The sequence below is a fragment of the Homo sapiens genome, chromosome 3, assembly GCF_000001405.40.
Source record: "Homo sapiens chromosome 3, GRCh38.p14 Primary Assembly".
In the NCBI taxonomy this organism is placed as follows: domain Eukaryota; kingdom Metazoa; phylum Chordata; class Mammalia; order Primates; family Hominidae; genus Homo; species Homo sapiens.
In genome coordinates, this window is record NC_000003.12 from 3,136,318 (window position 1) to 3,162,365 (window position 26,048).

A 26,048-nucleotide genomic window follows, 5' to 3' on the forward strand; every position below is an offset into this window, starting at 1 on the left:
GACATATGGATATAGTTATAGTGGATTTTGCCTTATCCTCTACATATAGAGGAGTCAGCTATGTAGTTGCTTATAGTTGTTCAGTGTTCAAATGGTTCTACCTAGAGCACAGATAGGAGTTGATTTTAGAATTATATACAGACCATTTCTTGAAGATTTTTAGCTATAAACATTAATCATAAGTGGTATAGACTAATGTCTGATAGTTTCATGCGTGAACATCCTGCCTCAACATCTATCTGTAAACACAGAGAAATACAAGAACATGTTACCATTTCTAAAGTATGCACATAAATGGGGAAAAGAAAGCAGAATTGTTTGATTTACTTTCTTTTTTTTTCTTTTTTTTTTTTTTGAGATAAGGTCTTGCTCTGTCACCCAGGCTGGAGTGCAGTGGCACGATCATAGCTCACCGCAGCCTTGAACTCCTGGGCTCAAGCCATCCTCCCACCTCAGCCTCCCAAGTAGCTGGGACTACAGGTGTGCGCCACTGAACCTGGCTATTTTTATTTTTTGTATAGATAGAGTCTTGCTCTTTGCCCAGGCTGGTCTTGAACTCCTGGGCTCAAGTGATCTTTTCACCTCAGCCTCCCAAAGTATCAGGATTACAGATGTGAGCCACTGCGCCTGACCTGCTTTAGTCTTTAGTAATACTTCAAATTTATATTGATCACTTTGAGGCATTGTGGAATTCTGAATTATCTTCTGAATAAGCAAAGAATTCTGCAAGTTCTCTGTTTCCTGTTGGTCCTCAGAGGCACTCTCCTGTAGACAAGTCTTTTTACTTCTTTGGGCCTTGTTCTCATTTTTCATATGAAAAGCCTCAGTTAAATGAATCTCTGCTGTTCCAACTAGATGGAAAAGCCTTGTACTTTTGTGGTTAAAATAAACACATTGAAATAAAGAACTTGGGAATAAAAATCTTATTTTCTCTCATCTCAGAATTATTTGTCAAAGAGAATCACGAATTAAGAATAGCAGGAGGAGCAGTGAGGGATTTATTAAATGGAGTAAAGCCTCAGGATATAGATTTTGCCACCACTGCTACCCCTACTCAAATGAAGGAGATGTTTCAGTCGGCTGGGATTCGGATGATAAACAACAGAGGAGAAAAGCACGGAACAATTACTGCCAGGGTGAGTCAAAAGTTTGACAGGTAATTACATTGCTTTTTTGGTAATTTTTAAAAACTTAATTTTCTCTAGTTAAAAGCAAATAACGAAAAGTCTAATAAAAAAGTCAGTCTCTTCTATGCCCGTCATAAACCCTGCAGTCCTCTGTTCTTGCAGCCATGTTTACTTTTTATGTTACCTCTCCATTTCTAAAAAGACCTTTGTATGCTACGGGTATTTACTTTTCAGTTTTTACTATCCCAGTTTTAAGATGTGTTACGTATTGACTTTCCATAAGGGAAGATGATTTAGCTTTCTTACCACACCCTTCTCAACAACAAGCACGTATAATTCTCCTTCTTCTGTCTTCCTAGTATATTTATATCATAATTTTTGGTTAAGTCAATATTCAGGGTTCACGTTTATGACTCTGTATTGTTTACAGCCAGATTGTGGAGTATATTGTGATGACATTTCTTCTATTGGCATGTTTTTAAATTTTCCTGCAGTTAATGGCATTTTTCTTTTACATAAGCTTTCCATATACTACCAATTTATTCCTGCACTCTGTGCCAGAGCTATAGAGTTCCTCTCAAAAGATTTAAACACATTATATCAAGTTTCAATTGGGTTTTTGGGAAACATCTTACCTGGTGCTGTCTTCCTGCTCCAATATGGACTTTTAGGAATTTCCTTGGCCTCTCTTTTTTGTTAAGCCTCCTGTTTCCTGGGTCCCATGTGCTGTTCTCTCTTGGCTTAAGCCCTCATTTTAATAATCCAAAACCTGAGGAAGCCTTACACGTCTGAAAATGTTTTTATTTCACCTCCATGGTGGTTTGATAGTTACGGTTATAGAATTCTAGGCAGGGAATAATTTTTACTCAGAAATTTAAAGGTATTGTTTTCTAGCTTCCAGTACTGCCAGTAAGTCTAGTTCCATTTAGATTTCTCTTTTGTTTAAAAACCTGATTGCCATTATTTCCTTTTGGAAGTCTTTCTGATCTTTTCATGTCTAATGTTTTTAATTTCAAGATGATATAACTTGTTTTGGATTTTTCACTTACTGTGCAGGGCACTTAGTGGGCCCTCATGTTTCTTTCATAATTTCATCCCTTTTGTTAAATGCTTTTTCCTTTGGAAACTCTTATTATTTGGATCCTGGATTGCTGGGACTGACCTTCTAGTTTTATCTTTTGTCTTTATTTTATATTCTCCTGTCTTACTTTCTATGAGAGTGCCTTAACTTCATCTCCCAGTCATTGTATAATACTGACAACTTCTGTGGTCTTGTAGAATTTCAAGAGGTCTTTCTTAGTATATTTCTTTGGAAAGCTTCCCGTTCATGTTTCAGATGGAAGATCTTTTATTTCTCTTAGGATATCTACTATAGTTATTTTGACAGTGTCTTTGTTTCCTCCGAGTGTTTTCTTTCAGGTTGGCTTTCCTTGAATTTGGGTGATGCTCTGTATCTGAGGGCTTTATTGTAGTTTTGCATGGGAAGTGTCAGCCAACTGGGACTCCCAGTCTAAGTCTCAGTAGGAGTTTTCATTAGGAGAAATCAGAGAAGAATACTCCAGTATTATGCCAGGGAATGAACCTGATTGTTAGCATCTTGAAACCAAGTAGGGAAAGGGATGAGGGTCATGTTAATTTTCACTTGAATCTTGTTTTCATTATGATGCTTCATTCCCATGAGCATCTGTGCCTGGTGCAACAAGTTCTGATTATTTTTGGTTGAACCTTTCTAGAGAATCAGTCCCTGGTTTTCTGCCTCATTAAGGGAGTCATTCTAGGTGGGTCTGATTATTTCTTAAAATGAGTTGCAAACAGTTTTCCTATTTCAAACCTTACCTTATTCTTTGCCTTCAGAGATACTTGTGCCTCAAATTCTTGAGTTCTGGAATTCTATAGTGAGAGATAGATGTAGCTTGTATTTAGAGAAGAGTATGTATCAAATTGAGAGAAATCCTACAACAGACTTCTGGTGATCGTTAACGGCTTTCACTTCCTAAATAAAGACATTCCTAACTCTTGGCACATAAAACACTTTATTCTCTACTCCTAAATGCTAATATGCTACCTGTCAGATATACTTTCTCTTTTACATATATTCCTCTTCCTCCACCGTGCCTTTGGTCATCTCTTCTCTTCATTTGAAGTTTTTCTACCACACCTGCATGTACAAACCCTGCTGCTTTTTCAAGGCTTGGCACAGACGCCACCCTAACATGAAGTTACTCAGCTTCCCCAGCTGGAGGTAGTCTGTCTTCCCAAGATAGAGGTAACTCTTTATTTTAATTTCTTTCTTTCTCTTTTGAGACAGGGTCTCACTCTGTTGCCTAGGCTGGAGTGCACAGTGTGATCTCGACTCACTGCAGCCTCTGCCTCCCGGGGTCTAGCGATCCTCCCACCTCAGCCTCCCAGGTAGCTAGGACCACAGGCATGCACCACCACACCTGGCTGGTTTTTTTGTATGTTTGGTAGAGATGGGGTTTTACCATCTTGCCCAGGCTGGTCTTGAACTCCTGAGCTCAAGTCATCTGCCTGCCTTGACCTCCCAAAGTGCTGGGATTACAGGCATGAGCCACCACCCCCAGCCTTTATTTTAATTTCACTGGGGATTATCAGTAAGGGAGTTGCAAGATCTGTTAACTGTACTTATTCTTTATCAGTCTTTCGCTCAATGGCAAATGTTCCATAAATTGACATTCACCTCTTTGCAAACTGGAGCTATTAAAAATATTTCTGATAATAGCTTGATTTGAAATTGAAGAACAGTTTTGAGTTTGATGTGGAGTTTCTCCACATCACTTGGCAGAGGTGACATGTTTGTGTGTTAAACTCATCTTTTTTAATCATGATGGATTTTTTTTAAAAAAATCAGTCTTTTGATCTGTTTTTGAATAATGTGGATATCTTTCTGTTTCAATGTTTAGGTATGGTAGTTGACGTTAAAAAGACTATAACTGTCAGGGCTTATAGTACCATCCCTTTATAAAGACAAAAACTTATTTTTTTCAATTCAGTAGTATGAAAACCTAATTTAAATGACAACAAAAACCCCATGTATTTAATTGCAGCTTCATGAAGAAAATTTTGAGATTACTACACTACGGATTGATGTCACCACTGATGGAAGACATGCTGAGGTAGAATTTACAACTGACTGGCAGAAAGATGCGGAACGCAGAGATCTCACTATAAATTCTATGTTTTTAGGTAATATTTGCAGATAAAACCATATTGTGAGTCTATCAGAATGCCTTCTTTTCAAGTAAAACCTACATTCTGGAAATGTTCTTCAACTTGAGAAGTTGCATTAATTTCTTCTAAGAGATGGTTTAGCAGATTGCTTCAAAGAATAGTCCCTCAGCCGGGCACGGTGGGTCACGCCTGTAATCCCAGCACTTTGGGAGGCCAAGGCAGGCGGATCATGGGGTCAGGAGATCGAGACCATCCTGGCTAACACGGTGAAACCCCATCTCTACTAAAAATATAAAAAATTAGCCGGGCGTGGTGGCGGCTGCCTGTAGTCCCAGCTGTTAGGCAGGAGAATGGTGTGAACCCGGGAGGCGGAGCTTGCAGTGAGCTGAGATTGTGCCACTGCACTCCAGTCTGGGCAACAGAGCGAGACTCCATCTCAAAAAAAAAGAATAGACTCTGGAGCCAAAATCCCTGGGTTCAAATTCTGACTCCGTCACTCACTAGCCACAAAACAAAAACGTTAATTAATATTGGCTTCCTTTGTACCGCTGTTGTGAGGTTTAAGAGAGTTAATTGTAAATGCTTAGAACAGTGCCTGACACATGTACACACTCAGTCAGTGCTAACTTCTTAACTGCATATAAACATGATTTCAGGGAAGAGAAGTGCACACACACATGGTACATGTACATACTCCACACACATCTACACACACACACACCCAGGATCATTCTTTTTCCTTTGCACTATCTTTCATGCATGTTTATTCAATCTTTCTTCTGCTTCCCTGGCAAACAATGGTGAATGACTTCAGCACTTTTTACTGCTGAGCCTACACACAACCTCAGATTCTTTTTTAGCATTGTATTCTAGGAATCATCAATAATCAGAGTTGGTATGTAAGATGAAACCTATTTATTTCAGCTTAACTTTTTTGTTTAATGAAAGCACTGGGAATTATATGGGGGCTAGATACGAATTAGGTTAGTGTTTTGATACATTACTGATGCATCATATGTTGTACTTTAAAGTTAAGACAAGCCCTTTATGTTTAAGATTTTGGATTAAAAAAGGATGAAACATCCACTGTTCATAACCTAGTTTGTAGCAATAGTAGTGGTAAAAGGATGAAGTAATAGGATTTGCTTCATGCATAGATGGGCAAGAAGTTTATAAGCTAAGGTGGCATCTCTTGCTGATTACAGTAATGACAGATACAATTTCTAGGGTACCTACTGGGTTCTAGGTACAACATTGGGTACCTGATATACTTTATTTCATTAAACTCTCAGAAAAACTTCATAAAGTATGTTAAGCCCACTTGATAGAAGAGGAAACTTGAGACTGAGAGATATTAAGTAACTTAGTTTAAGTCACAGAGAACCATGATTTTGGCTTGTTTCCAAGGCCTAGGCAATATATGACCATAGAGAGCCCAATTGGTGCATTTTTCTCTCAGTTAATGTAGTCAGAGCTCCAGGTATTTATTTATTCTCATATTTACTCATAGAGGAAGCTGCTCCAAATAGTGCAATATAGAGTCTTGTCTAACTGGCTTCTCATAAGCATACTGAAAGAGAGAAACTAATACTCTTTTTCAGTGTCCTAGTTTATAAAATAAAAGTTGTTCCTATTGGTACTATCATTTTCTGACATTTACTGAACCCTTATAACATGTCAGGCACTGTTCTGAGCACATTATGTAAATTTAATCTCCTGACAACCCTGCGAAGCAGATACTGCTATTTAACCGATGGTAACTTGCCCAAAGTTGCACAGCTTGTAAAGTGTAGGATCAGAATTCCAACTCAGGCAGCCTGACTCCAGAGGTCACATTCTTAACCACTACATTATTCCCTGCAACTCAACCATATTTCATATTTTTATTTACTGTATTTTAAAAGGATGATATTCAGAGCAAAACAAAATACACACCAGTATGATGCTTACTAAGCTTTGTGTAGTTTTCTATCCTGGCTTTTTCCAAGCCTTATTGGATCAAGCATTCATAGTTCTGGCATTTATGGTTGGTTACTTTGCTTCCCAAACGCTTATTTTTGCTTTGATCATATTCCTATGATTTTTTCCTCCAAATTTTGATCTTGCCTTTAGGTTCCCCAGGGACGGTTACAAGTCTCTTCATTAGGAGAAATAACACCAAGATGGATATACCATATTATTTGCTACTTTGTGATCATATTTTTGCCTATTTACATATTTTCTTTTTATCATTTTCTTTTATGTCTTTTTGAATCTGGAGCCTTCGAAATTTGCCATGTATGTCAAGATGGTTCCCTTTTAAAAGTTACTATGCATATAAAACTATTAACAGCTTGGAAAGAGTTAAGCATTAAGTGTGAACTTACCAATGTACTGTTGCTTTTGGGATAATCAGAGAACATTCAAGTTCAAACACAGCCAAGAGGTATTTTTGATAAGTAGTTGTCAGTGCCTCTTTTCTGTAATGCTACAGAGTGAAGTATCTCATAGATCACTGACCTCCCCATTTGGTGAGCTGAATGGTGTCTGTGTTTCGGCTCTAAATTCCTTTTTCTATTTTTTTAAGTCTCCATGGTAACCAACTGTCTTAGTTTGCCTGAGCTTGAAATACTTCCTTGGATGTATGATTTTCAACTTTAAAACTAGGAATGTCTCAGGCAAACCAGTATGAAGTGGTCACTCTACTAATTAATACTTGAGGTTTTATGTACATATATATAAAATTAGTTTTATGTCACTTTTTTCATTCAACATATGAGAACATTTGTTTATTACCATTTTTGTGAATGGCTAATAGATTAACATGGTTCAAAATTCACAAAGTTTTAAAGGCTCTACAGTGAAGTCTCCTGATCTGTAATGAACAGGACTGCCCATTTAACCACACCCTTGCTAACACTGTTATCAAGTGTTTGCATCGTTGCCGATCTGAAAGACGCTATCTTGGAAATGGGTATTTACTGGCCGGGCATGGTGGCTTATGCCTGTAACCCTAGCACTTTGGGAGGCTGAGGCATGCAGATCACTTGATGTCAGGAGTTCGAGACCAGCCTGGCCCACTTGCCGAAACCCTGTCTCTACTAAAAATACAAAAATTAGCTGTGTGTAGTGGCAGGTCTACTTGGGAGGCTGAAGCAGGAGAATCACCTGAACCTGGGAGGCTGCAGTGAGCTGAGATTGCACCACTGCACTCCAACCAGGGTGACAAAGTGAGAATCCGCCTCAAAGAACAAAAAAAGGATTTATGACTAAGGTTGAAAATCTTCATTATTAAAGAGATTTCTATATTTCCTTTATAGGTAGCCTATTTTTCTATTTACGTGGCCTTTTTATTAGAACTTTTATATATTATGGAAATTAGCCATTTTTAAAATATGGACTTACATATATTTTTCCAAAAATGTCACTTATGACTTTGTGTGTGATAGTAGTTTCTGCCATACAGGCATATTTCATTTTTTATGTCATTCAATTATTTCTTCGAAAATCCTGTTGTTTTTGTGTTGCGTTTTCTGTTTTCTTGCTGAGTTTGAAAGATCTTCAAGATTATAAAGATTCCAAGATTAAAAATATTTTCCTCGTTTCTTCTGTTAATCCTGTTACGTATTTTTTCCATTTTATTTTGGCTATTATTTTCCCATATTGTGAAAATTAGCTTGTATGGTGTCTTGTTGGCTCCACTCCACCTCATACAAGTTTTGCATATTTCTTGTTTAGTTTATTCTTGGATTATCTTTTTAGTTGCAATTGTAAATGCAGCTAAACAGACTAAAAGACAGTCTTTTATTGTCTTCCATTTGATAGTTGATATGTATGAATACGTATGTGTTTTAATAACTGTTCACTCTGCTGAATTTTTACTGTTTGTGATAGTGTTTAGCTGATTTTCTTGTGTTTTCAAATTCTTATTTGCCAATAGTGATTTTTCTCCCTCCTTTTCTAATGAATAGGTTTTGATGGCACTTTATTTGACTACTTTAATGGTTATGAAGATTTAAAAAATAAGAAAGTTAGATTTGTTGGACATGCTAAACAGAGAATACAAGAGGATTATCTTAGAATTTTAAGATACTTCAGGTAAGAATTTTTAAAAATAAAAAATGATAGTTTTAATATCATGACTAGAGCATAACAGTGGTCATACGAAACCCACAGCAGGTCAGTGTACAAAATGGTGACATCCCAAATGTCTGTCTCCAGTGGAGACCTAGCACCCTATGACTTATGAGTGAAAATTACTTAGCTACTTCATATTGTATTTTCATTCCCAGAACGCACATATACTTTATGTCATCTTTCCTACAATTTTAAGTCATCTTTTTAAATGTCCATTTTTCTTTTTGATTGATATTTCCTCCATTGATTTATTAATTACACAGATGTTTGAATGCTTACCACAGGTCAATCCCTGTGTTAGGTGCATTAAACGTGGTAATGAACGAGTGAAAGTGTTCGCCTTCATACAGCTTACGGTTTTAGGTAGTCATGGAAATCGGTGATGGTTCACAACAAAATGATTTTGGTGAAAAGAAATACCTGTTATATGATTTAAAGAATCAAAGCATAAAGACATAATCGAAACTTGGATGGGCCGGGTGTGGTGGCTCACACCTGTAATCCCCGCACTTTGGGAGGCCGAGGCGGGTGGATCACGAGGTCAGGAGATGAGACCATGCTGGCTAACATGGTGAAACCCCATTTCTACTAAAAATACAAAAAATTAGCCAGGCATGGCGGTGTGCGCCTGTAGTCCGAGCTACTCGGGAGGCTGAGGCAGGAGGATGGCGGGAACCCGGGAGGCGGAGCTTGCAGTGAGCCGAGATCGTGCCACCGCACTCCAGCCTGGGCGACAGAGCGAGACTCCATCTCAAAAAAAAAAAAAAAAAAAAAGAAGATCTTGGATAAACTTGGTAAATATGAAACGCATGACTAGTTTTGTGGGTAGCAATGATGTTTAAATGTCACACACTAACCTTTTTAAAAAACTATCCGAATTGGCTAGTTTATGTCAAGTAATATTCATTTTTCACTGGTTGGGATTGCTCTCAGAATATTCTATAACAGAACATGGATATTTTGTCAATGTAGTTTCTCTAAACTTGAGTATTTGTAGTCTGTCTTATAAATAATAGAACATAGATTAAGACTTAGCTGTATTTGTATCACTAATCCAGATTTAGCATTAATTTACTTATTTAGCATCACTTTGGACCGCTGATGAATTCATTAGAATTTTAAGGGCATGAGAGGGAAACACATGCACGTTAGGGCTTCCAGTTCTAAGATTCCGCGAAATATACTCCAGGGTGCGCAACTAGATGAGTCGTATTTGAAGGTTTTCCTTGAAAGTACTAATGTGTACAGACAGGCAAGCTTTGAGGAATTCAGACTACTCTGTTAAGGCACTGCAGTCTTGTTTTGGTTTGCTGCCTTTACAAGAATGCTGTTTTTTTTTTCATCTAGTATAAGTGCCAATTCAGGAATTGCATTTGATGACCATTCGGAATGTCTTGAGTCAGTAATTTGGAAGTGAGGTGGAGACCTTGAAGTTTTAGTTCTTGCTAACCTCAAAAAGGCTACTTATATTTTATTCGATCCTGGGTTTTCTTATCTGGGAAAAGAAAGAGGAGGTGGAGAAATGACCAGTTGCTTTCTAAGGTCCCTTCTAGACCTAACTAATTATATGTTGTTTTCATTAAGCAGATGTATGGGATAGTACCAATAAAAATGAAAAACAGATTTTGCTTGTGATATGCCAATATAGAGGTAATACCCTGTGAAGATTTTGTCTTGTAGGTTTTATGGGAGAATTGTAGACAAACCTGGTGACCATGATCCTGAGACTTTGGAAGCAATTGCAGAAAATGCAAAAGGCTTGGCTGGAATATCAGGAGAAAGGATTTGGGTGGAACTGAAAAAAATTCTTGTTGGTAACCATGTAAATCATTTGATTCACCTTATCTATGATCTTGATGTGGCTCCTTATATAGGTGAGAGCAAGTTATAAAGTGTTTGAATTTTTGGCAGTGAAATATCTGGTTTCAAATTTCATAAGGAAAAAATGTTTGACTCATTTGGTTGAAGAATTCTTGGAGAAATGGAGTATTTTAAAATAAGACAAAGTTTGGGTTATGGGGTAAGTTTTGTCGTGAGTAGGGAAGAGCTCAAAGACAGCTTGTGGTGCTTGTAGAGTAGTCTCTAGTCAGACCTAGGTTTGAAGGAAGCTCAGCCCCTTATCTAGTCTTTGCAACTTGGGTTAGTTTCTAACCCAAAAAAGCGGTTTAAAAGTAATGTAGCCTCTATCTAATAGGAAAGCTAAAAGGATTCAGTGAGTTAATACATGTAAAGCTCTTTTAGAAGAGTGACTTGTACACAGAAATTGTTCAGTAAACGTTGTAATTCATTTTCACAGAGAATAGTGGGATTATATGGTTTATCACACTTCGGTAAGCTTGGGCATATTTCAAATTTCAGTAACATTACTGAATGGGGGGTGGATCTTGTATCAGTGTAAAGTCAGGAATTTGTGATTAGAAAGAGTATGCCTTGTGAGTCTGACACCACTGTCACCACTACCCCTGGAACTCTTGATGTAGCTTTAATGGAAACAAGAACATTTTAGAGGTTTTGAAGGTGACAGGGGAGAGAATAACAATATATTAGTGGTTCGCCTTTAAGTTGGAACATCAGACTGAACCTATATAATGTATCCTAGTGACAAAGCATTTCTGGATACTAAAATGGTGGCAAGGTTTAGGATATGAGTGGTTTTTTATCCCCACTAAAAACAGGTGAAAAATGCTTTTGTCCCTACAGGTTTACCTGCTAATGCAAGTTTAGAAGAATTTGACAAAGTCAGTAAAAATGTTGATGGTTTTTCACCAAAGCCAGTGACTCTTTTGGCCTCATTATTCAAAGTACAAGATGATGTCACAAAATTGGATTTGAGGTTGAAGATCGCAAAAGAGGAGAAAAACCTTGGCTTATTTATAGTTAAAAATAGGAAAGATTTAATTAAAGCAACAGATAGTTCAGACCCATTGAAACCCTATCAAGACTTCATTATAGATGTAAGTATATACTAGGCTTGGTCAGAAATATGAAGTATCGTCACGAATTTAGAATTAATTTATTAAAACTAAGATCTACAAATCTGTGAATTTTACTTATTTTAAATGAAAAAATTTATGTTGAGTATTTAAATTTTAGGATAAGATTGTAAGTGTATGTTTTCATGTGTGACGAAACTAAATGTTTGATTTTGACACGTAGTCTAGGGAACCTGATGCAACTACTCGTGTATGTGAACTACTGAAGTACCAAGGAGAGCACTGTCTCCTAAAGGAAATGCAGCAGTGGTCCATTCCTCCATTTCCTGTAAGTGGCCATGACATCAGAAAAGTGGGCATTTCTTCAGGAAAAGAAATTGGGGCTCTATTACAACAGTTGCGAGAACAGTGGAAAAAAAGTGGTTACCAAATGGAAAAAGATGAACTTCTGAGTTACATAAAGAAGACCTAAAACTGATGGCTACTAAAAAGCAGAGCATTTCTGGTAAGACTAAATTTTCTCCCCTCCCTCTTAATGAGGTTTTAGAGACTACACCAGAATAAAAGACAGTTTAGGGGACCTCTGTAGAACAACAAGGGTCTTATTTTGTGAATTATATATTTCAAGAACTAAACAGAGATCCACCTTTCTGGATCTGATTTATATCACTGAAATGTACAGTTCTTTTGGAATAGTTTCACCTGAGAAAACATAGTTGGCTATTATCTATCTTAACCTGTTCAGGCTTTTAAAAAAAACTGTTTTTGCATAGGGTAGTACTAAGATCTTAAAAAGTGGTAACTGTCTTGAAGAAAAAACGTTTATTGTTTGTTTGCAATTGAAATAACAGGGTTACCTTAACAATGACTGTCTATGATGTGTCAGTTCTTATCTGAATTCCAAAATAAACCTGTGCTTAAAAAAGAAATAATTGACCAAGTAAGTTTGCATAAAATGTGAATACTAAATGTGTCCCCAGTTGCTGGCATTCATATGTACAGGATTTGTTCTAGCAAGCTATGCTTCAGTATGTGGTTGATATTTTTCTGTCACAATGATTTCTTTATGCATGCAGAGCCTGGGGAAGTCATGGGATTAACTTGAGGGTCACTATTGAGCCTATTAATTAATTATTGTTTTAATAAAACAAACATTGGTATTGGAAGATAAATATGTTTATGTGGTATCTGACAATGTGTATTAGGTGTCATATACAATGGTAATATGCCTGTCTTTAAAGTGTTATTTTATTAATTAAAAGGATATGGCTATTATTATATATTCTCTAAAGATTTGAGTCCTAAATGCTTTCATCAGGTAAATAAAATGTATAATACAAACTGTTTATTTCAGCTGCTATAATTTCAGCTGCTATACTGACATTTCATAATTTATTTCCTTTCTGTGTAGCCAGTCATAACATCTTTGTACTCTATGAGCAAATAGTAATTTTGGACCTTGATAAAACAATTTTGTAGAGTGTAATATTTCTAAGAGGAAATGTCACAGGGGCTATGATGCAAGAAAGCCTCAGAAATGACTGCATACAGGTCAGTAATTAGATGCATTATAAAATAATACTTTGAAATACTTACTTAAAATATTTAAGTACTGCCAAAATACAGATTTAGACCCAACGTCATATAATACATACTATTTCTGTATAGAAAGTATGCAGATTTAGCTATCAGGTCTGGTTTTGTCATGTGTAAAACCATTTTCAGTAGTAGTATAGTATATGTGTGTTTTTACAGATCAGAAAATTTTATTTGCTAGTAAACGGTATGGGACATACTGAAATTTTAACTTTTCAGAGGGACAAGGTAACTCATTGCAACTGGTTTAGAGTTCAGCCTACAGAGAGGTACTATGCTACTGACAGGAACTTCCTGGAGTAAGTAAGTTTTAGTGCAGTGTAAGAACTATAGGAACAAACCAGACCAGTGAAGTCACACAAACCCAAAATTATTAAAGTAGTAAAAGTAGACCTTAGAAAAAATAAGGCAGGGGCATATCCTGATTGGAAGTATTCTTGAATTTTCATTTACTCTATTTACATAAATATGCAGTGTGACACTCAACTGATTTCACTCCACCTTCAAGGCATGTATTTTGGCCTCATACTATTACTACATTTGAGTAAACATTTAACCTGATTAGTTTTAAAGTAGCAAAGGACTACCAATAAAACGAAAGTTATCATACAAATGTGGAAGGAAGGACCCACTAAACCCTTGAATATAAGCAAAGAGGTAGGTGGCAAAGCAGCCTTTTTAGAACTTTAAAATTATGAGTAGATATTTTACATTATTTGAACAAAGAACATGTTTAGTTTCACACTTAAGGTTTACTTACTTACAGATTTTCTTCAATTTACATTGAACAAAATAATACAGTATCAAGTTTAGTCTGGGTGAGGGGACATGTTTTGGCATCTTTTCCCTATAGTAGTAGTTTTGGTTCAAATTAATTTTTGAAAAATAGCTTTTGTATGGAACAGTATAAATGGGCTTATAGTTCAGATACTGAGCAAATACACAATACTACTTTTTACTAACAGGCACATAAAGGAAATGACAACTATTCGTGGGCTCAAAAAACTGCATATTTTAACTAATTTTCAAAATTTACAAATCAGTATCTCAGAGAAGTTAAAGAAAATGGAAAGGAACAAAGCCCTTTTAGAATAATTAATATACATTGCCTTGCTTCTTTCCAAAAGGAACATGTACTTGTCACCCTAGCTTTTGTTATTTAGAGCACTGGTACAGATACGCTGTCCCATACATCAGGATCAAATTATTAGTTTCAGTTTCACATTGTAGGAATTTAAGATTTTTTTTTTTTTTAACACAGGAAATAATCTCATCATTTCCAAAGATGTCTTCATGTCCCATCAATGACATGCTACCAGACATATCAGATTCCACAGGATAATGGCACCAAGCTACCCAAGTAGATGTTTCTGGTATTCTAGACTGCCGTTCATGCTTGTTTCCTAAAGTATACTTAAAAGTTTCAAATACAGTTTCACTTAGAAACTGCAACCCTCCAAGTAATGTTATGTTTACTTAGGTATTAATGTTATGTTTACTTAGGTATGTATCAGAGGCAATAATTTCCAAAGCAGATCTTAGAATATAACCAATTTGTTAGATAACTTTATCTCTATCACATCTGTTTACAAGCAAAGTATTACTTTGTCTGGACTTATTTCATCTTCAGTGTCTGGGATCGTGGGCAACAGAGCAGATCGCGTTAAGCCCCAAAATTTTTGAGGTGACATGTCTTTTTTGGTGGCCGTAAACTTCCATCCAATATGGCTTGCACAGATCTTACACTGGGCAACAGTCCAGGCATACCTAAGAAATTAAGGAAAGATATCAGCTAAGGAAACATTTCTGTACTCCAAGCCTATCATATAAACCTATCATGAAGACAGACTTTAGAGGCAAATTCTAAGGATTAGAGATTCTAAGTTGAGATTTGATCCATACAGTTCCCTGAAACCTAAAAACATTTCTAAAAACATTTTCTAATTTTGTAATATGTATGACTTTTATGCTCTTAAGCCATGTTTACATTTTTCTTCTACTGCATAGAAATAAAGAGTAATCTTAAGAATTTCTTTATAGAAATTGCTGGTTGCCAAGACCACATTCTAACTTGTACTGGCACCACATTCTAACTTGTACTGGCTTTTCCTTTGTTGTATTGCAGTCAAGTTAGAAAACAGCAATTACCTGCAGAAATAATGCACTTCTGTCTGAGTTAAACTGGATGGGCCAGGAAGGACACGTCTCAAAAAGTAAATATTTATATTCTAAAATAAGAACGATTGTCAGATAATGCAACCAGAAATACAAACCATGGTATTTTGTTCTTAAGATAAACCATGTAATTGCAACTGTTTCCTTATTTTTTTCCCTAGGTATACCATGCCACATTTATTTATAGTAACAAATGTATTCTAGTTTTAGTCCTCACATAGGGTGCCAAGTAAGATAGGGCAATCCAAGATACATAGTCCTAACCCCAGAGTAGCATGTAATCCCTTCTTAGCATCCCTCTTTGAAAACTGAAGATAGTACAGCTGAGGGAACTGAACAGGTTCCCAGGATCATAGAGAATCATTAAGCTGAAGCAAACAAACAAAAGGCAAACTAGAAGAAAAGCAGGATTCAATGGGTTCTGCACCTTCTTAGTCTATCATTGCTTTGTAAACATTCTCCGGTTTTACATTACTACAGAATATGGTCCAGATATAAAGTTCTACTGGGTCATAAGACAGCTGATTTTCAGAATTACATGACTGACAGAAAAAAACAATTTTGGATTTAACTGGATACAGTAATCTGAGGACAACTGCAGTTGTCAACCTTTTCTTCCTTTCATTCAATGATAAAAGATACAAAAAGTGCAACAGATGTTTCTAGCTATTTGTGGAATGAAGGACATTTAAATAAATTTTTTTTTTTTTTTAAATAGACAGATTCTCACTCTGTCACCCAGGCTGGACTGCAGTGGCACAATCTTGGCTCACTGCAACACTCTTGCCTTCCAGGTTCAAGAGATTCTTGTGCCTCAGCATCCCGAGCAGCTGGGAGTACAGACCCCTGCCCCCATACCCGGCTAATTTTTGTAGCAAATTACTCATTTGTCTGTCTACTTTTTATTATAAAGATTGTGGCAACTCTGCTTAGGACTCTGGATTTTTCTGCCCAATTAAGGTAAAAAAAGAAAAAAAAAAGCAACCACCACCATAATATTACCCAGGAAACCAGCTGTGTTCTGTAGAAGGCCGGCCTATCAGATTCAAGTTGCAAGCCTTATACACAGTAAGTGTCTCATGCACATATCCATGAGGATTCACATAAGCTGCCATCGGCCCACATAAGGATAAACTAAAACAAAGAATCAACATGGAGAACACGTCAAAACGAGAAGTCTAATTTTATTAAATGCTTAGAATTTTATTGAAGTTCACCAAGAAATGAGGTATGAGCTATACAGTTTTTAATCCTTCAGTTTTATATAATACCAGGATCTTAGTATGAAAATGGGGTGGGGGTACAGCTGGCAGACAGGCCTGTTTTGTCTAAATGTCTAAATGTTTTCTGTGATGACCCAAAGGAAATAGTACTTGTTTTTAAAACCCTCCTCAAGACAGACATTGTAAAGAATATAAAACTCAAATGCTTCTAAAGGAGTCTGAGAGTGTAAGTGCAATGACAAGGTCCTGTGTGGTCATTTTGGGGCAGTTGATTATTTTGCAGAAAGCAGTTTCCTTACCTTCTTGATTTACAACTGATGGATTTGTCATAAAATGATTTTCAAACACTGTTATATCAGAGCATCAGTATGTGTTCAGAAGCATGTCCTACTTTGGCCCTATATGGCAAAACTGATGACTGAAATGTAATTTCTGAAGCATCTATGTTAGGGCCTAATTGAAGACAGTCTAATATATAGATTGTCAACAAGAATTAGGGGGAAAAGAATTTCTCAGTTGTTTTACTTTACCATGCTCATTACCTGTGAATAATCCCTGACATGCATTGTTGCTCTGAGTACCCAATCTGGAAGATGGTCTTAGCAAAAGTGAGCTAATTCCCTATATTTCATTTGCTAAATGTTTGTAACTTTAAGGTACTGGAGGAAAGTTTATGGAAAACAGAAATACAGTCTTCATTATAATTCTGATAAGGCAAGTATATTAAAAACGTAATAAAGACCTTACCTGAATATTTCATTTTTGGTTGTTATTTCTGTTTCTTGACATTGTTTACAGCAAAGGGAAGTACACTAAAAGATTTGAGAGAAAAATTATTGGTAGGAAAAACTGGCATTCACTTTATCATGTAATCACATAGATCATCAAGAAACTTACTTATAAAGATATTGCTCTCTCTGAATATCACATTTTCCTTCCAAGCATTCAAAAACACTTTTAAAGATGGAGCACGAAAGTCACTGAAACTGAGATCTGCCACATATTTACATAAAACTAAATGACCTTCTCTAGAGTAAAGGAATAGTGATATATAACCTTGGATATTTCCATGCAGAAATCAAGTTATTTTTCACTAAGTTGATAAATGTATTCATATTTGACAAACACAAAACAATGAGTTTGTTTGTAAGATCCCAATTGAAATCTGAATTGCATGACTACATTACTGGACTCTATACAGAGCTCCATTGGCCCCAACAGAGCATCCTAGTTCTCCAGCCTGAATAAAACATGGGCATCAAAAACATATTCACTTTACTCACTTTATTCATAATGTCTAATTCACAGCGAAGTCGCTGGATAGCACTGCCAATTTTAAGGAGCTGAATTCTCAATACATCATCAATAGGAAGACAAGCAGCTACTCTGTAAGAAAAATCTTCAAGACATGGTTTTTCAAGTTTTAAACTTAGGAGTCAGATAAGCATCAGAGAACTTACAAATCGGATAATATCCTTTTGAAATAAACCCTTCTCTTTAAGGTTACACATTTTATACAAGTATAAACAATACAAAAATATACCAGCTGTCAAAGATACACTTTTCAGAAGCTCTAAATTTAATTGCTTTTCTTATACTTTTTTTGGTAAAATCCTTTTATGTTAAACATGAACTCAAATCCATGTTAGAAGTTATTTGCCAAGAGACTAGAAAAATAACTAAACTATACCTTATAAACAGATAAAGAGAGTATCTATAATTAAGGCAAGTCCTGGAACTAGACTCACTTCTTTTAAAGGCACCTTGAAGAACAGGGAAAGGAGTCCTTACACAGGAAGTGTTTTTGGATGACAGCCACTTCCTGCAATTTGAACTTTTTATGGAAAACTTGTCTAAAATTGGAGTGCTCACAGAATATGAGGATTTTATTGCAATTAATTTTAAAATACTCATTTTTTTTCAACTGCTCAAAGGAAATTATGCTTTTCAGAATTAAAATGTTTTAATCAGTCTTAAAACCTAGAAGATATGATTGGATCGCATCCATGAAAAAGCTATTTTTTATAGCAAGACATCCCAGGCTCCAGGCAGGAAACTAACTTTTCATACCTATTGGATTTGAAGGAAGAGAATCATCTTTTAGATTTTCATCCCATTCACGTAGCTGTTTCTTGATTCTGTCCATTAAGGTCTCCTTGTTTAAAATAAAGGTAGCCATAATCAAGTTCATGGGCTTATTAAAATTTACTATTAAGCTTTTCAACTCTTAAAACTAACACTGGTAGCAATTTAATCACTCAGTCCCATCTCAGTCCCAGTTTAAATGCCTCCATTTTCGTATGCAGCAATGATCAAGCTCCAGCTCCTTTGCCCAGCACTGTCTGCCTTCCAGCCTTTTCTCACTCACTGTCTTAACCCAGCGGTATATGCTCCCAACTCCCTTGCAGATTGTTCTGTTCTATGCCCCTGCTTGGAACTGGCCTCTCTTCTGCCTTCTATTAGGCCATTTCTGACCCAGTCCATAGGGATTATGGCACCTATAAATTGCACTAGCACTTGCTATCTACATACCTTACTTGGCACCTATTTACTACATAATTTTCACAAGCATATGCAAAACATGCAAAAACTCATATATTGTGTCTTTGTAATTGCTGAAAAGCTGCTAAAGAGCGGAGATCAACTGCAGTTTCCTTTAGTGTCGTGCATGTTGTTGAGTTTTCCCAGGACTCCAGATTTGTGGGCAGTGATTCATTAAGGGAAATGGCTAGCATTTATTGAATGCCCGCTATGCACACCAGGTACAATAGCTACCATTATATCCATTTCATAGGTCCTTGGAGAAGTAATTTGCTCCAGGCCCACAGAGTAAGTGACAGAAATCAGACTCTGAAGTCAGTCTCTGATCTGAAATCCAGATTCTTTAAACCATTTCAGCACTGTCCCTTAGTTTTGCAAAATGTGGCAATGCCTAGTGTTAAACTTTAAGGAGCAAAAACCCTCCTGGATGCATTAATTAATAGACTAATGATCAAGAGACGTAAGTTAATATACTTGTTTAGAGAAAAACCAAAACAGTAAAATATGGATGCTTTAATGTTCTAAATGTAACTATCACCCAACCCAACAAAATTTCACATGCTTAATAAAACTCTAAAGAGTCTTGTGATACCTTTTTTTTTCCCTTTTGAGACAGTCTTGCTCTGTTGTCCAGGCTGGAGTACAGTGACACAATCTCAGCTCACGGCAGCCTTGACCTCCCAGGCTCAATCAATCCTTCCACCTCAGCCTCTCAAGCAGCTGGGACTACAGCCACATGCCACCAAACCTGGCTAATTTTTGTATTTGTAGAGATGGGGTTTCACCATGTTGCCCAGGCTGGTCTTGAATGCCTGGCTTCAAGCAATCCCCCTGCCTTGGCCTCCCAAAGTGCTGGGATTACAGGTGTGAGCCACCACTCTTAACGATATCTTAAGTTATAAGGCACTAGAAACTGGAAAAACTAAACCTTTGTTTTTTAATGACCCTTAATTATGACATGGCCTACCATATATAAAGTAAATTTAAGGTAAGTTACTTACAGCATCATATAAGGAATACAGCCAGCGAGGCCATGAAGTTAGATTTGCACAATGAAACTTTCTCTGAAAACAAAACAAAAAGGCACTTAAAAAACCCCACAGAATAAAGATTCTAATGCTGGAATGAGCAACATCTGAAAAATGATTTTGGCCTAGGAAAACATCTAATTTTAAAAAGATAAAAAATTTTGTAGATAATCCCATGACGTGACTATCTATGAAGTGTGAAATCATGCTTCCTATATCCTTCAAATATATATTGTAACTAGAATCTTCATTCCTATTTAAAAAGGTCAAACATTAAAATTTCAATGCTGAAGACAACTTTGGGAAGATAAATGTTGAGAGTAAACACCATACTTCTATTATGACCATGTTAGTTGCCTTTATACTAATTACTTGTCCAGTATCTGAAGTGAAAACCTCAAGATATAATCCAAACTGTTTTTGTGTAAAAACTTTAAATGAGAATCAGCTGAATCACTATAAGGGCAAACATTAAGAAGTGATAGAATCCCAAGAAAGATAAAATGTTCGTTTACTTGAGACTTCATGATGAAGTTCCTCATTTCATAAAACTCAAGGAGAGGGGAAACCGATTATTTATCACCTCTAATTGTAACTGAAATCCAAACAGGAGCATGCCTAAGTCCATATAAAAATGTGAATTGTAGAAATTTCAGTTGAATTGTGAATTGTAGAAATTGTAGAATTTCAGTATTTGAGGGGGAGAAATGTGAATTGTAGAAATTGTAGAATTTCAGTATTTGAGGGGGAGACTCAATACTGTTAAGATGTCAGTCCTCAAATTACATATTCAGTGCAATACCAGTGAGAATGGAATTTATAAGTATAATTTAAAGTTCGTTTGGAAACATAACTGCAAAAGTAACCACAAAATTTTTGAAAGAGAAGCAAATGGTCTATAGGACACAAAAATATTACTGAAGGGATGCACTGCAGCAGTGCTAATAGCAACAAATTGCAAACAACCTAAACATCAATCAAAAATAGAGTGAAATACATTAGAATATGTTTATATCAAGGAATGCTCTGCAAGTGATCAAAGAACAAGGTATAGCAGAATATAAAGAATTATCACATTTTTCTCAAAACAAAACCTACATACGTACAAATCTTTGTAATTTCACTGTAAATAAAATGTTAATTGACATGTGACATGACACATGAAAGTGAGAGAGAAAAGGAATAAGGTAGATCAAAAGGCACTTTTAACAGACCAGAACAAGAAAAACAAGGTAACATTTAACAAAACAAGAGGAAGACCCTACTCCTGCACCTGCAATATCAAATGACTAGGTATGTTTCATACGCTGAATGATACTTACCCTAGGTATGTTTCATACCTAGTCATATGATCTTGCAAGTGCCGGAGTAAGATCTGCAGGAAACGTGGGAACACAGCACACATAAAAGGGACTCGGGACTGAGCTGACAGCTGGAATTGTACTACGCAACTGTACAATGTGCTACACCACTCACACCCTCGACTTCCCCGCCACTCCAATCCTATTCTAGCTATGTTAGTTTGGTGCAAAAGTAACTGCGGTTTTAACAGAAGACTAGAATCTATGAGACAATGTTATTCTATTCCATGCTGTTCAAATATGGGAACTTTTATTATCAAAGGGAATGTCTTGTTACCAGAGATGTTCAGTTTAGAGCTGTCTCTCAAGTGGACACACTGGTTTTCAAATATTTTAGGAGTTGCAATATGGAAGAGGACAGACTTGTTCTAAAACACGACCTACAGCTCAAAACAAAGGATTCCTTAATGAGAAACATTTCTGGCTTAATATAATCCTTATATTTGAGACTATGCAAAGATCAGCCGTCCCCAACCTTTTCGACACCAGGGACCAGTCTCGTGGAAAACAGTTTTTCCAAAGATGGGGTGGAGGATGGTTTTGGAATGATTCAAGTGCATTACATTTATCATTAGATTCTCATAAGGAGCACGCAGTCTAGATCCCTCCCATGCGCAGTTCACAATAGGGTTTGCGCTCCTATAAGAATCTATGCTGCCACTGATCTGATAAGAGGTGGCGCTCAGCTTCACTTGCTCGTTCACCACTCACCACCGGCTGTGCGTCCCGGTTCCTAACAGGCCACAGACCAGTGCTGGTTCGTGGGCCAGGATTTGGGGACCCCTGCCAAAGGTGATCTGAGATGGCCTCCTACTGTGTGCTCTGGTAGTGGTTAAAGCCTGAGGAGTCAGACCATGAGACCCTTCAGGTACTCTCCAATAAGTTGTCCCTCACTTTTAAGACTAAATACCTAATGGTAAGATTATTGTCACAGTCCAGTTACAGAATTTAAGAAAATACTACCAAGAGCACATCAAGTAGCTCTGAATCTTCAGGAACAGCAATGGCAACCATTAGTATTGTGCCAAGAATTTCACATTTCTTGTAAGAATACTCTAAGGTTAGTAGTTTATTATCTCCATTCTAAAGTAAGGAAACAGAGGCACACAAGGATGGTATAACTTGCTCAAGGTCACAGAGTCAGTAAATAGGAAGGAGCTAGGATCTGTATACAGGGAGTCTGACTCTAACCATCATTCATTCAACAAATATTGTGAGTGCCTGATAGGGTTTGGCCGTGTCCCCACCCAAATCTCATCTTGAATTGTAGTTCCCATAATCCCCATGTGTCGTGGGAGGGATCTGGTGGGAGGTAACTGAATCATGGGGACAGTTACTGCCATGGTTTTCTCATGATAGTGAGTTCTCACGAGATCTGATGGTTTTATTAAGACGGTTTTGACCCTTTTGCTTGGCACTTCTTCCTGCCATCATGTGAAGAAGAACATGTTTGCTTCCCCTTCTGCCATGATGGTAAGTTTCCTAAGGCTTCCCTAGCCATGCTGAACTGTGAGTCAAATAAAACTCTTTTCTTTATAAATTACCCAGTCTTGGGTACGTCTTAGCAGCGTGAGACCAGACTAATACAGTGCCTAACATGTGTCAGGCTATTTTTATACATTTAGGCTATGCCAGTGAATGAAAGAAAAACCAACAAAATTCAATACCCTGTCGAGCTTATATTTTAGAGAGAAGAAGCTATATATTCTTAGAATTACAAAATGACAAAGACCCAACTGAAAGTTTTAGTTTCGCTGACACACTCCTCATTCAGTTATTAAAATATACTTCACATATCAGAATGGTCACTTTTGTAATACAAAAGAAATGTAAAAAAGTGTAGTACAAAAGTGTAATTTCATTTGGCACCCATGTCAAGAAAAAGAATCTGAAATAATATGTAAATTTCAAGTATAAAGAGAATAAAATGTGGCACACTAGCATATTAAGAGCAATGCACTGGATCAGGCATTCACTCTGCCACCATGCCCATGAGCAAGCTACAGTTTCAGGTAGCTTCTTTTCAGAGTCAGAAGACCTCTAAAATTCTTTATCTGGAGCATCCTGACAGATTCAAATATGCATAATACATCCTTAATATTTGTGATGTGTGTTAGTCAATTAGACACACTGAAGAGACATATACCAGAACAGATTAGCTAGCTAGCTTTTACAGAGCAACTGCCAAAGTTTAAGACATTTCAACATCCTCAAATTTAAGAGTCCCATTTAGCTTTCTGGCACAATAGGAAAGGCTCCTGTCTTATATCTGGGTAAAATGGATGATAAGTTCTAGCAATTTATAGGCATTCTTTAAATATATCAACACCATGATTGATGTCATAAAATGGTTATACCTCAAGAAAATTTTAATACTAGCCAAAAAGTTTAGGCACTTAAAAGTGACCAATGACGGATTCTCCAGCAGAGTAGTATTCACTCTGGGAACAGGATTTACTACTGAAAGCAGGCATAAAAGCCCTTAAAACGAATCTGTTACCTGGAGGTAATCTATCACAGTCCTCCATTCTTAAGCCTCATAACTATGGCTTCGGCTTTGCCTCCCAACAACGTAGAATGTTCAAAACATGTGAAACTCCATTTAAGTGAGTCTTTGAAGTGCAATGAAAATGGAAAGAGTAATGTGAAAAGCTAAACATAAATAGTAAATCACTACCACTGACTTCCTTTATATAGTGACTAAAAGTGGTCACTTATTGTGTTAAATCCTATTACAATCAGCAATGTAAATGACAGAAATAATTTATATAAATAATTAAAAAGTTACCAGTTTTTGTTTCCTTCTTTCATGAACCAAATTCCTACATGGTAATAAGAACTGGGATGGAATGATAAGCTCTTTCCTACTCCTGAGGCTTATACGCTAATGGCAGATACACAAGTGTACATACAAGATGTATGCCTGGGAAATGACCAGTCTTTCTGAGGAAGCACCTGACTATACATAGCCTAAGATTTCAAGACTTTTCTTCTTTATATAAAAATAGTCAATAAATGTTACTGTTCTTACGATTATTATCCTGGAACAAGGTGAAACAGATTCTCAAGTTCACAAGGAAATGTTAATCAATGGTAGTCACTGAAAAGCTTGACAAAAAAGCAGTGAGGGGCTTACCAGCCCTATTTTTATTTACACAAAGTATAAAGTGCCAACATTAACAACAATATGATGATGGCACACAAGCAGACCAAAAGAGAAGAAAAGTAAAATAAACATATGAATTTGGTCTGTGACAATGGTGGCATCTCAAATCAATGGGAGAAAATATGGACTATTCAAAAAGTGGTAGTAGGACAATAGGGAGCCATCTGGAAAAAAGTAAAGTGGAATTTATATCAGGATCAACTGCACAAGGATCAGAGCTTTCCACGGAAAAGTAATGAAACCACAGCAAGTATCCAAAGAAAACATGAGACATTCCTTTGCATGGGAACGTCATTTTTGGCTATGATTTAGAATACAGAAGCATTAAAAATTAAACTATGTAAGAACAACAACAAAAAAACAGTTCTGTTTGACACACCACACCAAAAACAAAAGACAAAAGACAAACTAGGAAAAATGTTTGGAACTCATTAATTACAGAGACTATAAAGCTTACAAGGAACTCCCAAGAAATCAACAAGCCGTAGAAAAATGGGCAAACACTTTACAGAAAGGAAACACAAACTGCTCTTACAACAAAATGCTTACCCTTGCTCTCAGAGAAATTCAAATTGAACCTTCAATGTAATATATTTCACTTATCAGATCAGCAAACATCAGGTTTGATACTACATTGCCTGTCAGGCCATGATGAAACAATAAAAATAAGTACAAACACCTTAAGTATTTTGAAAATAACTCGCCTCCCGGGTTCCAGTGATTCTCCTGCCTCAGCGTCCCAAGTAGCTGGGATTACAGGCACCCGCCACCATGCCCGGCTAATTTTTGTATATTTAGTAGAGACGGGGTTTCACCATTTTGGCCAGGCTGGTCTTGAACTCCTCACCTTGTGATCCACCCGCCTCAGCCTCCCAAAGTGCTGGGATTACAGGCGTGAGCCACTGTGCCTGGCCTCAAAATTATTTTTAAAACTGACAGAATTATAAATGCATTTACCCTGTGAGCCAATAACCTCACTCTTTAAAAGTTATCATAAATATTTACCTATATAAAAGGTCATTTGTACATGTTATTTAGTACAGATCTATCATCAGTATGGGACTGGTTATACAGTGTATCCATACAAAAGAATTCCAAGCAGCTTTAAGAATGAGCAATGCTCTATAAACTAATACAAAAGAATCTCCTATAAGATACACCGTTAAGAAAAAGGTACGTATCCTTCTGTATAAGAAAGAAATAAGAACATTTGTATCTAGATAAAATTAGGAGGAGATTTAAACACTAATCTGGGAGATTACGTATGAGACCCCTGCCCTTCCAAATTCATGCTCAGTTCCTCCCTGCTCTACGCAATAAACAGGAACAACCATGGCTAAGTTCAACAGAGGCCAGAAAGATGAGACTCATTACTTTCTTAGTATCTGTTTCCCATTTGACTTATCTTTACATTTCATACTCAACTCTTTTCTGATTAACATAGTAAGCCTTGATATATGAATAAGCAGATGGTCTGGGCAAGCAGGGAATATACTTAGAAACATTTAAGTCATACTCCAAACAGGTTTAAACAAAATTTCCTCTTTTTTTTTGAGGAGGATTTTTACTGTAGGGGGATTCTCAAATCCCCCT

The 26,048-nt window shown here is 36.6% G+C and overlaps 2 protein-coding genes across 29 annotated transcripts in view; one reads left to right on the forward strand and one right to left on the reverse strand.

Annotated features, from left to right (window-relative positions):
* The window catches only part of TRNT1 (tRNA nucleotidyl transferase 1), a 26,496-nt gene extending 9,378 nt beyond the window's left edge, over positions 1 to 17,118 (forward strand). For 3 of the 23 annotated variants that reach the window (XR_007095685.1, XR_007095686.1, NR_159934.1), the window contains exons 3-10: positions 943 to 1,136; positions 4,193 to 4,331; positions 8,267 to 8,393; positions 10,113 to 10,306; positions 11,133 to 11,386; positions 11,589 to 11,870; positions 12,777 to 12,916; positions 14,223 to 17,118. Coding sequence is in view for 7 of the 23 variants with exons in the window: in XM_047448240.1 (XP_047304196.1) it covers positions 943 to 1,136; positions 4,193 to 4,331; positions 8,267 to 8,393; positions 10,113 to 10,306; positions 11,133 to 11,386; positions 11,589 to 11,837 (1,157 nt within the window). In the remaining 16 variants the exon portion in view is untranslated. Of the gene's footprint in view, positions 1 to 942; positions 1,137 to 4,192; positions 4,332 to 8,266; positions 8,394 to 10,098; positions 10,307 to 11,132; positions 11,387 to 11,588; positions 12,917 to 14,222 lie in introns of those variants that run through there. The other 20 variants (XR_007095687.1, XR_007095688.1, NR_159935.1 and 17 more) reach the window with 12 other exon arrangements.
* Positions 13,316 to 26,048, reverse strand: part of CRBN (cereblon) — a 30,085-nt gene continuing 17,352 nt past the window's right edge. For 3 of the 6 annotated variants that reach the window (XM_005265202.5, NM_016302.4, XM_047448254.1), the window contains 6 exons: positions 19,902 to 19,964; positions 18,430 to 18,514; positions 17,643 to 17,758; positions 17,107 to 17,171; positions 16,139 to 16,270; positions 13,694 to 14,728 (listed from right to left, as the gene is read on the reverse strand). In XM_005265202.5, the coding sequence (XP_005265259.1) occupies positions 14,548 to 14,728; positions 16,139 to 16,270; positions 17,107 to 17,171; positions 17,643 to 17,758; positions 18,430 to 18,514; positions 19,902 to 19,964 (642 nt within the window). In that variant the 3' untranslated portion in view covers positions 13,694 to 14,547. 6 annotated transcript variants of the gene reach the window in all.